Consider the following 14998-nt stretch of genomic DNA (forward strand, 5'->3'; position numbering starts at 1 on the left):
GACAGAATCATTCACAGAAACTTCTTTTTGATGTGTGTGTTCAGCTCACAGAGTTTAACCTTTCTTTTGATGGAGCAGTTTGGAAACACTCTGTTTGTAATGTCTGCAAGTGGATATTTGGACCTCTTTGAGGCCTTCGTTGGAAACGGGATTCTTCAAGTAATGTTCGACAGAAGAATTCTCAGTAACTTATTTGTGGTGTGTGTATTCAACTCACAGAGTTGAACCTTCCTTTAGACAGAGCAGATTTGAAACACCCTATTTGTGCAGTTTCCAGTTGGAGATTTCAATCGCTTTGAGACCAAATGTAGAAAAGGAAACATCTTCGTATAAAAACTAGACAGAATCATTCTCAGAAACTACTTTGTGATGTGTGCATTCAACTCAAGGAGTTTAAGCTTTCTTTTCATAGAGTAGTTTGGAAACACTCTGTCTGTAAAGTCTGCAAGCAGATATTTGGACCTCTTTGGGGCCTTCGTTGGAAACGGGATTTCTTCATACAACGCTAGAAAGAAGAATACTGAGTAAGTTCTTTGTGTTGCCTCTATTCAACTCACAGAGGTGAACTGTCCTTTAGACAGAGCAGATGTGAAACCCTCTTTTTGTGATATTTGCACGTGGAGATTTCAAGCGCTTTTAGGCCAAATGTAGAAAAGGAAATATCTTCGTATAAAAACTAGACAGAATCATTCTCAGAAACTACTTTGTGATGTGTGCGTTCAATTCACAGAGTATAACCTTTCTTTTGATGGAGGAGTTTGGAGACACTGTGTTTGTAAAGTCTGCAAGTGGATATTTGGACCTCTTTGAGGCCTTCGTTGGAAACGGGATTTCCTCATATAATGTTACACAGAAAGAATTCTCAGTAACTTATTTGTGGTGTGTGTATTCAACTCACAGAGTTGAACCTTCCTTCAGAAAGAGCAGATTTGAAACACTCTTTTTGTGGAGTTTCCATGTGGAGATTTCAATCGCTTTGAGACCAAAGGTAGAAAAGGAAACATCTTCTTATAAAAACTAGACAGAATCATTCACAGAAACTACTTTGTGATGTGTGTGTTCAACTCAAGGAGTTTAACCTTTCTTTTGATGGAGCAGTTTGGAAAAACTCTGTCTGTAAAGTCTGCAAGCAGATATTTGGACCTCTTAGGGGCCTTCGTTGGAAACGGGATTTCTTCATAGAATGCTAGAAAGAAGAATACTGAGTAAGTTCTTTGTGTTGCCTCTATTCAACTCACAGAGGTGAACTGTCCTTTAGACAGAGCAGATGTGAAACCCTCTTTTTGTGATATTTGCAGGTGGAGATTTCAAGCGCTTTTAGGCCAAATGTAGAAAAGGAAATATCTTCGTATAAAAACTAGACAGAATCATTCTCAGAAACTACTTTGTGATGTGTGCATTCAATTCACAGAGTATAACCTTTCTTTTGATGGAGGAGTTTGGAGACACTGTCTTTGTAAAGTCTGCAAGTGGATATTTGGAACTCTTTAAGGCCTTCGTTGGAAACGGGATTTCCTCATATAATGTTACACAGAAGAATTCTCAGTAACTTATTTGTGGTGTGTGTATTCAACTCACAGAGTTGAACCTTCCTTCAGAAAGAGCAGATTTGAAACACTCTTTTTGTGGAGTTTCCATGTGGAGATTTCAATCGCTTTGAGACCAAAGGTAGAAAAGTAAACGTCTTCGTATAAAAACTAGACAGAATCATTCACAGAAACTACTTTGTGATGTGTGTGTTCAACTCAAGGAGTTTAACCTTTCTTTTGATGGAGCAGTTTGGAAACACACTGTCTGTAAAGTCTGCAAGCAGATATTTGGACCTCTTTGAGGCCTTCGTTGGAAACGGGATTTCTTCATATAATGTTTGATAGGAGAATTCTCAGTAACTTCTTTGTGCTGTGTGTATTCAACTCACAGACTTGAACTTTCCTTTAGAAGAGCAGATGTTAAACACCCTTTTTGTGTAATTTGCAGCTGGAGATTTCAAGCGCTTTGAGGCCTACGGTAGAAAAGGAAACATCTTCTTATAAAATCTAGACAGAATCATTCACAGAAACTTCTTTTTGATGTGTGTGTTCAGCTCACAGAGTTTAACCTTTCTTTTGATGGAGCAGTTGGGAAACACACTGTTTGTAATGTCTGCAAGTGGATATTTGGACCTCTTTGAGGCCTTCGTTGGAAACGGGATTTCTTCCTCTAATGTTCGACAGAAGAATTCTCAGTAACTTATTTGTGGTGTGTGTATTCAACTCACAGAGTTGAACCTTCCTTTAGACAGAGCAGATTTGAAACAGCCTATTTGTGCAGTTTCCAGTTGGAGATTTCAATCGCTTTGAGACCAAATGTAGAAAGGGAAACATCTTCGTATAAAAACTAGACAGAATCATTCTCAGAAACTACTTTGTGATGTGTGCGTTCAACTCAAGGAGTTTAAGCTTTCTTTTCATAGAGTAGTTTGGAAACACTCTGTCTGTAAAGTCTGCAAGCAGATATTTGACCTCTTTGAGGCCTTCGTTGGAAACGGGATTTCTTCATAGAATGCTAGAAAGAAGAATACTGAGTAAGTTCTTTGTGTTGCCTCTATTCAACTCACAGAGGTGAACTGTCCTTTAGACAGAGCAGATGTGAAACCCTCTTTTTGTGATATTTGCAGGTGGAGATTTCAAGCGCTTTTAGGCCAAATGTAGAAAAGGAAATATCTTCGTATAAAAACTAGACAGAATCATTCTCAGAAACTACTTTGTGATGTGTGCGTTCAATTCACAGAGTATAACCTTTCTTTTGATGGAGGAGTTTGGAGACACTGTCTTTGTAAAGTCTGCAAGTGGATATTTGGACCTCTTTGAGGCCTTCGTTGGAAACGGGATTTCCTCATATAATGTTACACAGAAGAATTCTCAGTAACTTATTTGTGGTGTGTGTATTCAACTCACAGAGTTGAACCTTCCTTCAGAAAGAGCAGATTTGAAACACTCTTTTTGTGGAGTTTCCATGTGGAGATTTCAATCGCTTTGAGACCAAAGGTAGAAAAGGAAACATCTTCGTATAAAAACTAGACAGAATCATTCACAGAAACTACTTTGTGATGTGTGTCTTCAACTCAAGGAGTTTAACCTTTCTTTTGATGGAGCAGTTTGGAAAAACTCTGTCTTTAAAGTCTGCAAGCAGATATTTGGACCTCTTTGAGGCCTTCGTTGGAAACGGGATTTCTTCATATAATGTTTGATAGGAGAAGTCTCAGTAACTTCTTTGTGCTGTGTGTATTCAACGCATAGAGTTGAACTTTCCTTTAGAAGAGCAGATGTTAAACACCCTTTTTGTGGAATTTGCAGCTGGAGATTTCAAGCGCTTTGTGGCCTACGGTAGAAAAGGAAATATCTTCTTATAAAATCTAGACAGAATCATTCACAGAAACTTCTTTTTGATGTGTGTGTTCAGCTCACAGAGTTTAACCTTTCTTTTGATGGAGCAGTTTGGAAACACTCTGTTTGTAATGTCTGCAAGTGGATATTTGGACCTCTTTGAGGCCTTCGCTGGAAACGGGATTTCTTCCTGTAATGTTCGACAGAAGAATTCTCAGTAACTTATTTGTGGTGTGTGTATTCAACTCACAGAGTTGAACCTTCCTTTAGACAGAGCAGATTTGAAACACCCTATTTGTGCAGTTTCCAGTTGGAGATTTCAATCGCTTTGAGACCAAATGTAGAAAAGGAAACATCTTCGTATAAAAACTAGACAGAATCATTCTCAGAAACTACTTTGTGATGTGTGCGTTCAACTCAAGGAGTTTAAGCTTTCTTTTCATAGAGTAGTTTGGAAACACTCTGTCTGTAAAGTCTGCAAGCAGATATTTGGACCTCTTTGGGGCCTTCGTTGGAAACGGGATTTCTTCATAGAACGCTAGAAAGAAGAATACTGAGTAAGTTCTTTGTGTTGCCTCTATTCAACTCACAGAGGTGAACTGTCCTTTAGACAGAGCAGATGTGAAACCCTCTTTTTGTGATATTTGCAGGTGGAGATTTCAAGCGCTTTTAGGCCAAATGTAGAAAAGGAAATTCTTCGTATGAAAACTAGACAGAATCATTCTCAGAAACTACTTTGTGATGTGTGCGTTCAATTCACAGAGTATAACCTTTCTTTTGATGGAGGAGTTTGGAGACACTGTCTTTGTAAAGTCTGCAAGTGGATATTTGGATCTATTTGAGGCCTTCGTTGGAAACGGAATTTCCTCATATAATGTTACACAGAAGAATTCTCAGTAACTTATTTGTGGTGTGTGTATTCAACTCACAGAGATGAACCTTCCTTCAGAAAGAGCAGATTTGAAACACTCTTTTTGTGGAGTTTCCATGTGGAGATTTCAATCGCTTTGAGACCAAAGGTAGAAAAGGAAACATCTTCGTATAACAACTAGACAGAATCATTCACAGAAACTACTTTGTGATGTGTGTGTTCAACTCAAGGAGTTTAACCTTTCTTTTGATGGAGCAGTTTGGAAACACTCTGTCTGTAAAGTCTGCAAGTAGATATTTGGACCTCTTTGAGGCCTTCGTTGGAAACGGGATTTCTTCATATAATGTTTGATAGGAGAAGTCTCAGTAACTTCTTTGTGCTGTGTGTATTCAACTCATAGAGTTGAACTTTCCTTTAGAAGAGCAGATGTTAAACACCCTTTTTGTGGAATTTGCAGCTGGAGATTTCAAGCGCTTTGAGGCCTACGGTAGAAAAGGAAACATCTTCTTATAAAATCTAGACAGAATCATTCACAGAAACTTCTTTTTGATGTGTGTGTTCAGCTCACAGAGTTTAACCTTTCTTTTGATGGAGCAGTTGGGAAACACACTGTTTGTAATGTCCGCAAGTGGATATTTGGACCTCTTTGAGGCCTTCGTTGGAAACGGGATTTCTTCAAGTAATGTTCGACAGAAGAATTCTCAGTAACTTATTTGTGGTGTGTGTATTCAACACACAGAGCTGAACCTTCCTTTAGACAGAGCAGATTTGAAACAGCCTATTTGTGCAGTTTCCAGTTGGAGATTTCAATCGCTTTGAGACCAAATGTAGAAAAGGAAACATCTTCGTATAAAAACTAGACAGAATCATTCTCAGAAACTACTTTGTGATGTGTGCGTTCAACTCAAGGAGTTTAAGCTTTCTTTTCATAGAGTAGTTTGGAAACACTCTGTCTGTAAAGTCTGCAAGCAGATATTTGGACCTCTTTGAGGCCTTCGTTGGAAACGGGATTTCTTCATAGAACGCTAGAAAGAAGAATACTGAGTAAGTTCTTTGTGTTGCCTCTATTCAACTCACAGAGGTGAACAGTCCATTAGACAGAGCAGGTGTGAAACCCTCTTTTTGTGATATTTGCACGTGGAGATTTCAAGCGCTTTTAGGCCAAATGTAGAAAAGGAAATATCTTCGTATAAAAACTAGACAGAATCATTCTCAGAAACTACTTTGTGATGTGTGCGTTCAATTCACAGAGTATAACCTTTCTTTTGATGGAGGAGTTTGGAGACACTGTCTTTGTAAAGTCTGCAAGTGGATATTTGGACCTCTTTGAGGCCTTCGTTGGAAACGGGATTTCCTCATATAATGTTTCACAGAAGAATTCTCAGTAACTTATTTGTGGTGTGTGTATTCAACTCACAGAGTTGAACCTTCCTTCAGAAAGAGTAGATTTGAAACACTCCTTTTGTGGTGTTTCCATGTGGAGATTTCAATCGCTTTGAGACCAAAGGTCGAAAAGGAAACATCTTCGTATAAAAACTAGACAGAATCATTCACAGAAACTACTTTGTGATGTGTGTGTTCAACTCAAGGAGTTTAACCTTTCTTTTGATGGAGCAGTTTGGAAACACTCTGTCTGTAAAGTCTGCAAGCAGATATTTGGACCTCTTTGAGGCCTTCGTTGGAAACGGGATTTCTTCATATAATGTTTGATAGGAGAAGTCTCAGTAACTTCTTTGTGCTGTGTGTATTCAACGCATAGAGTTGAACTTTCCTTTAGAAGAGCAGATGTTAAACACCCTTTTTGTGGAATTTGCAGCTGGAGATTTCAAGCGCTTTGAGGCCTACGGTAGAAAAGGAAACATCTTCTTATAAAATCTAGACAGAATCATTCACAGAAACTTCTTTTTGATGTGTGTGTTCAGCTCACAGAGTTTAACCTTTCTTTTGATGGAGCAGATTGGAAACACTCTGTTTGTAATGTCGGCAAGTGGATATTTGGACCTCTTTGAGGCCTTCGTTGGAAACGGGATTTCTTCAAGTAATGTTCGACAGAAGAATTCTCAGTAACTTATTTGTGGTGTGTGTATTCAATTCACAGAGTTGAACCTTCCTTTAGACAGAGCAGATTTGAAACACCCTAGTTGTGCAGTTTCCAGTTGGAGATTTCAGTGGCTTTGAGGCCAATCATAGAAACGGAAATATCTTCGTTTAAAAACAAGACAGAATCATTCTCAGAAACTACTTTGTGATGTGTGCGTTCAACTCAAGGAGTTTAAGCTTTCTTTTCATAGAGTAGTTTGGAAACACTCTGTCTGTAAAGTCTGCAAGCAGATATTTGGACCTCTTTGAGGCCTTCGTTGGAAACGGGATTTCTTCATATAATGTTTGATAGGAGAAGTCTCAGTAACTTCTTTGTGCTGTGTGAATTCAACTCATAGACTTGAACTTTCCTTTAGAAGAGCAGATGTTAAACACCCTTTTTGTGGAATTTGCAGCTGGAGATTTCAAGCGCTTTGAGGCCTACGGTAGAAAAGGAAACATCTTCTTATAAAATCTAGACAGAATCATTCACAGAAACTTCTCTTTGATGTGTGTGTTCAGCTCACAGAGTTTAACCTTTCTTTTGATGGAGCAGTTTGGAAACACTCTGTTTGTAATGTCTGCAAGTAGATATTTGGACCCCTTGAGGCCTTCTTTGGAAACGGGATTTCTTCATGTAATGTTCGACAGAAGAATTCTCAGTAACTTATTTGTGGTGTGTGTATTCAACTCACAGAGTTGAACCTTCCTTTAGACAGAGCAGATTTGAAACACCCTATTTGTGCAGTTTCCAGTTGGAGATTTCAATCGCTTTGAGACCAAATGTAGAAAAGGAAACATCTTCGTATAAAAACTAGACAGAATCATTCTCAGAAACTACTTTGTGATGTGTGCGTTCAACTCAAGGAGTTTAAGCTTTCTTTTCATAGAGTAGTTTGGAAACACTCTGTCTGTAAAGTCTGCAAGCAGATATTTGACCTCTTTGAGGCCTTCGTTGGAAACGGGATTTCTTCATAGAACGCTAGAAAGAAGAATACTGAGTAAGTTCTTTGTGTTGCCTGTATTCAACTCACAGAGGTGAACTGTCCTTTAGACAGAGCAGATGTGAAACCCTCTTTTTGTGATATTTGCAGGTGGAGATTTCAAGCGCTTTTAGGCCAAATGTAGAAAAGGAAATATCTTCGTATAAAAACTAGACAGAAGCATTCTCAGAAACTACTTTGTGATGTGTGCGTTCAATTCACAGAGTATAACCTTTCTTTTGATGGAGGAGTTTGGAGACACTGTCTTTGTATAGTCTGCAAGTGGATATTTGGACCTCTTTGAGGCCTTCGTTGGAAACGGGATTTCCTCATATAATGTTACACAGAAGAATTCTCAGTAACTTATTTGTGGTGTGTGTATTCAACTCACAGAGTTGAACCTTCCTTCAGAAAGAGCAGATTTGAAACACTCTTTTGGTGGAGTTTCCATGTGGAGATTTCAATCGCTTTGAGACCAAAGGTAGAAAAGGAAACATCTTCGTATAAAAACTAGACAGAATCATTCACAGAAACTACTTTGTGATGTGTGTGTTCAACTCAAGGAGTTTAACCTTTCTTTTGATGGAGCAGTTTGGAAACACTCTGTCTGTAAAGTCTGCAAGCAGATATTTGGACCTCTTTGAGGCCTTCGTTGAAAACGGGATTTCTTCATATAATGTTTGATAGGAGAAGTCTCAGTAACTTCTTTGTGCTGTGTGTATTCAACTCATAGAGTTGAACTTTCCTTTAGAAGAGCAGATGTTAAACACCCTTTTTGTGGAATTTGCAGCTGGAGATTTCAAGCGCTTTGAGGCCTACGGTAGAAAAGGAAACATCTTCTTATAAAATCTAGACAGAATCATTCACAGAAACTTCTTTTTGATGTGTGTGTTCAGCTCACAGAGTTTAACCTTTCTTTTGATGGAGCAGTTTGGAAACACTCTGTTTGTAATGTCTGCAAGTGGATATTTGGACCTCTTTGAGGCCTTCGTTGGAAACGGGATTTCTTCATGTAATGTTCGACAGAAGAATTCTCAGTAACTTATTTGTGGTGTGTGTATTCAACTCACAGAGTTGAACCTTCCTTTAGACAGAGCAGATTTGAAACACCCTATTTGTGCAGTTTCCAGTTGGAGATTTCAATCGCTTTGAGACCAAATGTAGAAAAGGAAACATCTTCGTATAAAAACTAGACAGAATCATTCTCAGAAACTACTTTGTGATGTGTGCGTTCAACTCAAGGAGTTTAAGCTTTCTTTTCATAGAGTAGTTTGGAAACACTCTGTCTGTAAAGTCTGCAAGCAGATATTTGGACCTCTTTGGGGCCTTCGTTGGAAACGGGATTTCTTCATAGAACGCTAGAAAGAAGAATACTGAGTAAGTTCTTTGTGTTGCCTCTATTCAACTCACAGAGGTGAACTGTCCTTTAGACAGAGCAGATGTGAAACCCTCTTTTTGTGATATTTGCAGGTGGAGATTTCAAGCGCTTTTAGGCCAAATGTAGAAAAGGAAATATCTTCGTATAAAAACTAGACAGAATCATTCTCAGAAACCACTTTGTGATGTGTGCGTTCAATTCACAGAGTATAACCTTTCTTTTGATGGAGGAGTTTGGAGACACTGTCTTTGTAAAGTCTGCAAGTGGATATTTGGACCTCTTTGAGGCCTTCGTTGGAAACGGGATTTCCTCATATAATGTTACACAGAAGAATTCTCACTAACTTATTTGTGGTGTGTGTATTCAACTCACAGAGATGAACCTTCCTTCAGAAAGAGCAGATTTGAAACACTCTTTTTGTGGAGTTTCCATGTGGAGATTTCAGTCGCTTTGAGACCAAAGGTAGAAAAGGAAACATCTTCGTATAACAACTAGACAGAATCATTCACAGAAACTACTTTGTGATGTGTGTGTTCAACTCAAGGAGTTTAACCTTTCTTTTGATGGAGCAGTTTGGAAACACTCTGTCTGTAAAGTCTGCAAGCAGATATTTGGACCTCTTTGAGGCCTTCGTTGGAAACGGGATTTCTTCATATAATATTTGATAGGAGAAGTCTCAGTAACTTCTTTGTGCTGTGTGTATTCAACTCATAGAGTTGAACTTTCCTTTAGAAGAGCAGATGTTAAACACCCTTTTTGTGGAATTTGCAGCTGGAGATTTCAAGCGCTTTGAGGCCTACGGTAGAAAAGGAAACATCTTCTTATAAAATCTAGACAGAATCATTCACAGAAACCTCTTTTTGATGTGTGTGTTCAGCTCACAGAGTTTAACCTTTCTTTTAATGGAGCAGTTTGGAAACACTCTGTTTGTAATGTCTGCAAGTGGATATTTGGACCTCTTTGAGGCCTTCGTTGGAAACGGGAATTCTTCATGTAATGTTCGACAGAAGAATTCTCAGTAACTTATTTGTGGTGTGTGTATTCAACTCACAGAGTTGAACCTTCCTTTAGACAGAGCAGATTTGAAACACCCTACTTGTGCAGTTTCCAGTTGGAGATTTCAATCGCTTTGAGACCAAATGTAGAAAAGGAAACATCTTCGTATAAAAACTAGACAGAATCATTCTCAGAAACTACTTTGTGATGTGTGCGTTCAACTCAAGGAGTTTAAGCTTTCTTTTCATAGAGTAGTTTGGAAACACTCTGTCTGTAAAGTCTGCAAGCAGATATTTGACCTCTTTGAGGCCTTCGTTGGAAACGGGATTTCTTCATAGAACGCTAGAAAGAAGAATACTGAGTAAGTTCTTTGTGTTGCCTCTATTCAACTCACAGAGGTGAACTGTCCTTTAGACAGAGCAGATGTGAAACCCTCTTTTTGTGATATTTGCAGGTGGAGATTTCAAGCGCTTTTAGGCCAAATGTAGAAAAGGAAATATCTTCGTATAAAAACTAGACAGAATCATTCTCAGAAACTACTTTGTGATGTGTGCGTTCAATTCACAGAGTATAACCTTTCTTTTGATGGAGGAGTTTGGAGACACTGTCTTTGTAAAGTCTGCAAGTGGATATTTGGACCTCTTTGAGGCCTTCGTTGGAAACGGGATTTCCTCATATAATGTTACACAGAAGAATTCTCAGTAACTTATTTGTGGTGTGTGTATTCAACTCACAGAGTTGAACCTTCCTACAGAAAGAGCAGATTTGAAACACTCTTTTTGTGGGGTTTCCATGTGGAGATTTCAATCGCATTGAGACCAAAGGTAGAAAAGGAAACATCTTCGTATAAAAATTAGACAGAATCATTCACAGAAACTACTTTGTGATGTGTGTGTTCAACTCAAGGAGTTTAACCTTTCTTTTGATGGAGCAGTTTGGAAACACTCTGTCTGTAAAGTCTGCAAGCAGATATTTGGACCTCTTTGAGGCCTTCGTTGGAAACGGGATTTCTTCAAGTAATGTTCGACAGAAGAATTCTCAGTAACTTATTTGTGGTGTGTGTATTCAACTCACAGAGTTGAACCTGCCTTTAGACAGAGCAGATTTGAAACACCCTATTTGTGCAGTTTCCAGTTGGAGATTTCAATCGCTTTGAGACCAAATGTAGAAAAGGAAACATCTTCGTATAAAAACTAGACAGAATCATTCTCAGAAACTACTTTGTGATGTGTGCGTTCAACTCAAGGAGTTTAAGCTTTCTTTTCATAGAGTACTTTGGAAACACTCTGTCTGTAAAGTCTGCAAGCAGATATTTGGACCTCATTGGGGTCTTCATTGGAAACGGGATTTCTTCATAGAACACTAGAAAGAAGAATACTGAGTAAGTTCTTTGTGTTGCCTCTATTCAACTCACAGAGGTGAACTGTCCTTTAGACAGAGCAGATGTGAAACCCTCTTTTTGTGATATTTGCAGGTGGAGATTTCAAGCGCTTTTAGGCCAAATGTAGAAAAGGAAATATCTTCGTATAAAAACTAGACAGAATCATTCTCAGAAACTACTTTGTGATGTGTGCATTCAATTCACAGAGTATAACCTTTCTTTTGATGGAGGAGTTTGGAGACACTGTCTTTGTAAAGTCTGCAAGTGGATATTTGGACCTCTTTGAGGCCTTCGTTGGAAACGGGATTTCCTCATATAATGTTACACAGAAGAATTCTCAGTAACTTATTTGTGGTGTGTGTATTCAACTCACAGAGATGAACCTTCCTTCAGAAAGAGCAGATTTGAAACACTCTTTTTGTGGAGTTTCCATGTGGAGATTTCAATCGCTTTGAGACCAAAGGTAGAAAAGGAAACATCTTCGTATAACAACTAGACAGAATCATTCACAGAAACTACTTTGTGATGTGTGTGTTCAACTCAAGGAGTTTAACCTTTCTTTTGATGGAGCAGTTTGGAAACACTCTGTCTGTAAAGTCTGCAAGCAGATATTTGGACCTCTTTGAGGCCTTCGTTGGAAACGGGATTTCTTCATATAATGTTTGATAGGAGAAGTCTCAGTAACTTCTTTGTGCTGTGTGTATTCAACTCATAGAGTTGAACTTTCCTTTAGAAGAGCAGATGTTAAACACCCTTTTTGTGGAATTTGCAGCTGGAGATTTCAAGCGCTTTGAGGCCTACGGTAGAAAAGGAAACATCTTCTTATAAAATCTAGACAGAATCATGCACAGAAACTTCTTTTTGATGTGTGTGTTCAGCTCACAGAGTTTAACCTTTCTTTTGATGGAGCAGTTTGGAAACACTCTGTTTGTAATGTCTGCAAGTGGATATTTGGACCTCTTTGAGGCCTTCGTTGGAAACGGGATTTCTTCAAGTAATGTTCGACAGAAGAATTCTCAGTAACTTATTTGTGGTGTGTGTATTCAACTCACAGAGTTGAACCTTCCTTTAGACAGAGCAGATTTGAAACACCCTATTTGTGCAGTTTCCAGTTGGAGATTTCAATCGCTTTGAGACCAAATGTAGAAAAGGAAACATCTTCGTATAAAAACTAGACAGAATCATTCTCAGAAACTACTTTGTGATGTGTGCGTTCAACACAAGGAGTTTAAGCTTTCTTTTCATAGAGTAGTTTGGAAACACTCTGTCTGTAAAGTCTGCAAGCAGATATTTGGACCTCATTGGGGTCTTCGTTGGAAACGGGATTTCTTCATAGAACGCTTGAAAGAAGAATACTGAGTAAGTTCTTTGTGTTGCCTCTATTCAACTCACAGAGGTGAACTGTCCTTTAGACAGAGCAGATGTGAAACCCTCTTTTTGTGATATTTGCAGGTGGAGATTTCAAGCGCTTTTAGGCCAAATGTAGAAAAGGAAATATCTTCGTATAAAAACTAGACAGAATCATTCTCAGAAACTACTTTGTGATGTGTGCGTTCAATTCACAGAGTATAACCTTTCTTTTGATGGAGGAGTTTGGAGACACTGTCTTTGTAAAGTCTGCAAGTGGATATTTCGACCTCTTTGAGGCCTTCGTTGGAAACGGGATTTCCTCATATAATGTTACACAGAAGAATTCTCAGTAACTTATTTGTGGTGTGTGTATTCAACTCACAGAGATGAACCTTCCTTCAGAAAGAGCAGATTTGAAACACTCTTTTTGTGGAGTTTCCATGTGGAGATTTCAATCGCTTTGAGACCAAAGGTAGAAAAGGAAACATCTTCGTATAAAAACTAGACAGAATCATTCACAGAAACTACTTTGTGATGTGTGTGTTCAACTCAAGGAGGTTAACCTTTCTTTTGATGGAGCAGTTTGGAAACACTCTGTCTGTAAAGTCTGCAAGCAGATATTTGGACCTCTTTGAGGCCTTCGTTGGAAACGGGATTTCTTCATATAATGTTTGATAGGAGAAGTCTCAGTAACTTCTTTGTGCTGTGTGTATTCAACTCATAGAGTTGAACTTTCCTTTAGAAGAGCAGATGTTAAACTCCCTTTTTGTGGAATTTGCAGCTGGAGATTTCAAGCGCTTTGAGGCCTATGGTAGAAAGGGAAACATCTTCTTATAAAATCTAGACAGAATCATTCACAGAAACTTCTTTTGATGTGTGTGTTCAGCTCACAGAGTTTAACCTTTCTTTTGATGGAGCAGTTTGGAAACACACTGTTTGTAATGTCTGCAAGTGGATATTTGGACCTCTTTGGGGCCTTCGTTGGAAACAGGATTTCTTCATGTAATGTTCGACAGAAGAATTCTCAGTAACTTATTTGTGGTGTGTGTATTCAACTCACAGAGTTGAACCTTCCTTTAGAAAGAGCAGATTTGAAACACCCTATTTGTGCAGTTTCCAGTTGGAGATTTCAATCGCTTTGAGACCAAATGTAGAAAAGGAAACATCTTCGTATAAAAACTAGACAGCATCATTCTCAGAAACTACTTTGTGATGTGTGCGTTCAACTCAAGGAGTTTAAGCTTTCTTTTCATAGAGTAGTTTGGAAACACTCTGTCTGTAAAGTCTGCAAGCAGATATTTGGACCTCTTTGGGGCCTTCGTTGGAAACGGGATTTCTTCATAGAACGCTAGAAAGAAGAATACTCAGTAAGTTCTTTGTGTTGCCTCTATTCAACTCACAGAGGTGAACTGTCCTTTAGACAGAGCAGATGTGAAACCCTCTTTTTGTGATATTTGCAGGTGGAGATTTCAAGCGCTTTTAGGCCAAATGTAGAAAAGGAAATATCTTCGTATAAAAACTAGACAGAATCATTCTCAGAAACTACTTTGTGATGTGTGCGTTCAATTCACAGAGTATAACCTTTCTTTTGATGGAGGAGTTTGGAGACACTGTCTTTGTAAAGTCTGCAAGTGGATATTTGGACCTCTTTGAGGCCTTCGTTGGAAACGGGATTTCCTCATATAATTTTACACAGAAGAATTCCCAGTAACTTATTTGTGGTGCGTGTATTCAACTCACAGAGTTGAACCTTCCTTCAGAAACAGCAGATTTGAAACACTCTTTTTGTGGAGTTTCCATGTGGAGATTTCAATCGCTTTGAGACCAAAGCTAGAAAAGGAAACATCTTCGTATAAAAACTAGACAGAATCATTCACAGAAACTACTTTGTGATGTGTGTGTTCAACTCAAGGAGTTTAACCTTTCTTTTGATGGAGCAGTTTGGAAAAACTCTGTCTTTAAAGTCTGCAAGCAGATATTTGGACCTCTTTGAGGCCTTCGTTGGAAACGGGATTTCTTCATATAATGTTTGATAGGAGAAGTCTCAGTAACTTCTTTGTGCTGTGTGTATTCAACTCATTGAGTTGAACTTTCCTTTAGAAGAGCAGATGTTAAACACCCTTTTTGTGGAATTTGCAGCTGGAGATTTCAAGCGCTTTGAGGCCTACGGTAGAAAAGGAAACATCTTCTTAGAAAATCTAGACAGAATCATTCACAGAAACTTCTTTTTGATGTGTGTGTTCAGCTCACAGAGTTTAACCTTTCTTTTGATGGAGCAGTTTGGAAACACTCTGTTTGTAACGTCTGCAAGTGGATATTTGGACCTCTTTGAGGCCTTCGTTGGAAACGGGATTTCTTCAAGTAATGTTCGACAGAAGAATTCTCAGTAACTTATTTGTGGTGTGTGTATTCAACTCACAGAGTTGAACCTTCCTTTAGACAGAGCAGATTTGAAACAGCCTATTTGTGCAGTTTCCAGTTGGAGATTTCAAGAGCTTTGAGACCAAATGTAGAAAAGGAAACATCTTCGTATAAAAACTAGACAGAATCATTCTCAGAAACTACTTTGTGATGTGTGCGTTCAACTCAAGGAGT

General features: G+C 38.6%; 1 annotated feature.

The window, feature by feature from the left end:
• Nucleotides 1-14998: part of a centromere (Linear centromere model derived predominantly from reads generated in PMID: 17803354. This region does not represent an actual centromere sequence, as long-range ordering of repeats and unmapped WGS contigs is not provided by the model. For details of model production, see http://arxiv.org/abs/1307.0035.) that runs on past both edges of the window.

Source organism: Homo sapiens, chromosome 12 (assembly GCF_000001405.40).
Source record: "Homo sapiens chromosome 12, GRCh38.p14 Primary Assembly".
Lineage (NCBI taxonomy): Eukaryota > Metazoa > Chordata > Mammalia > Primates > Hominidae > Homo > Homo sapiens.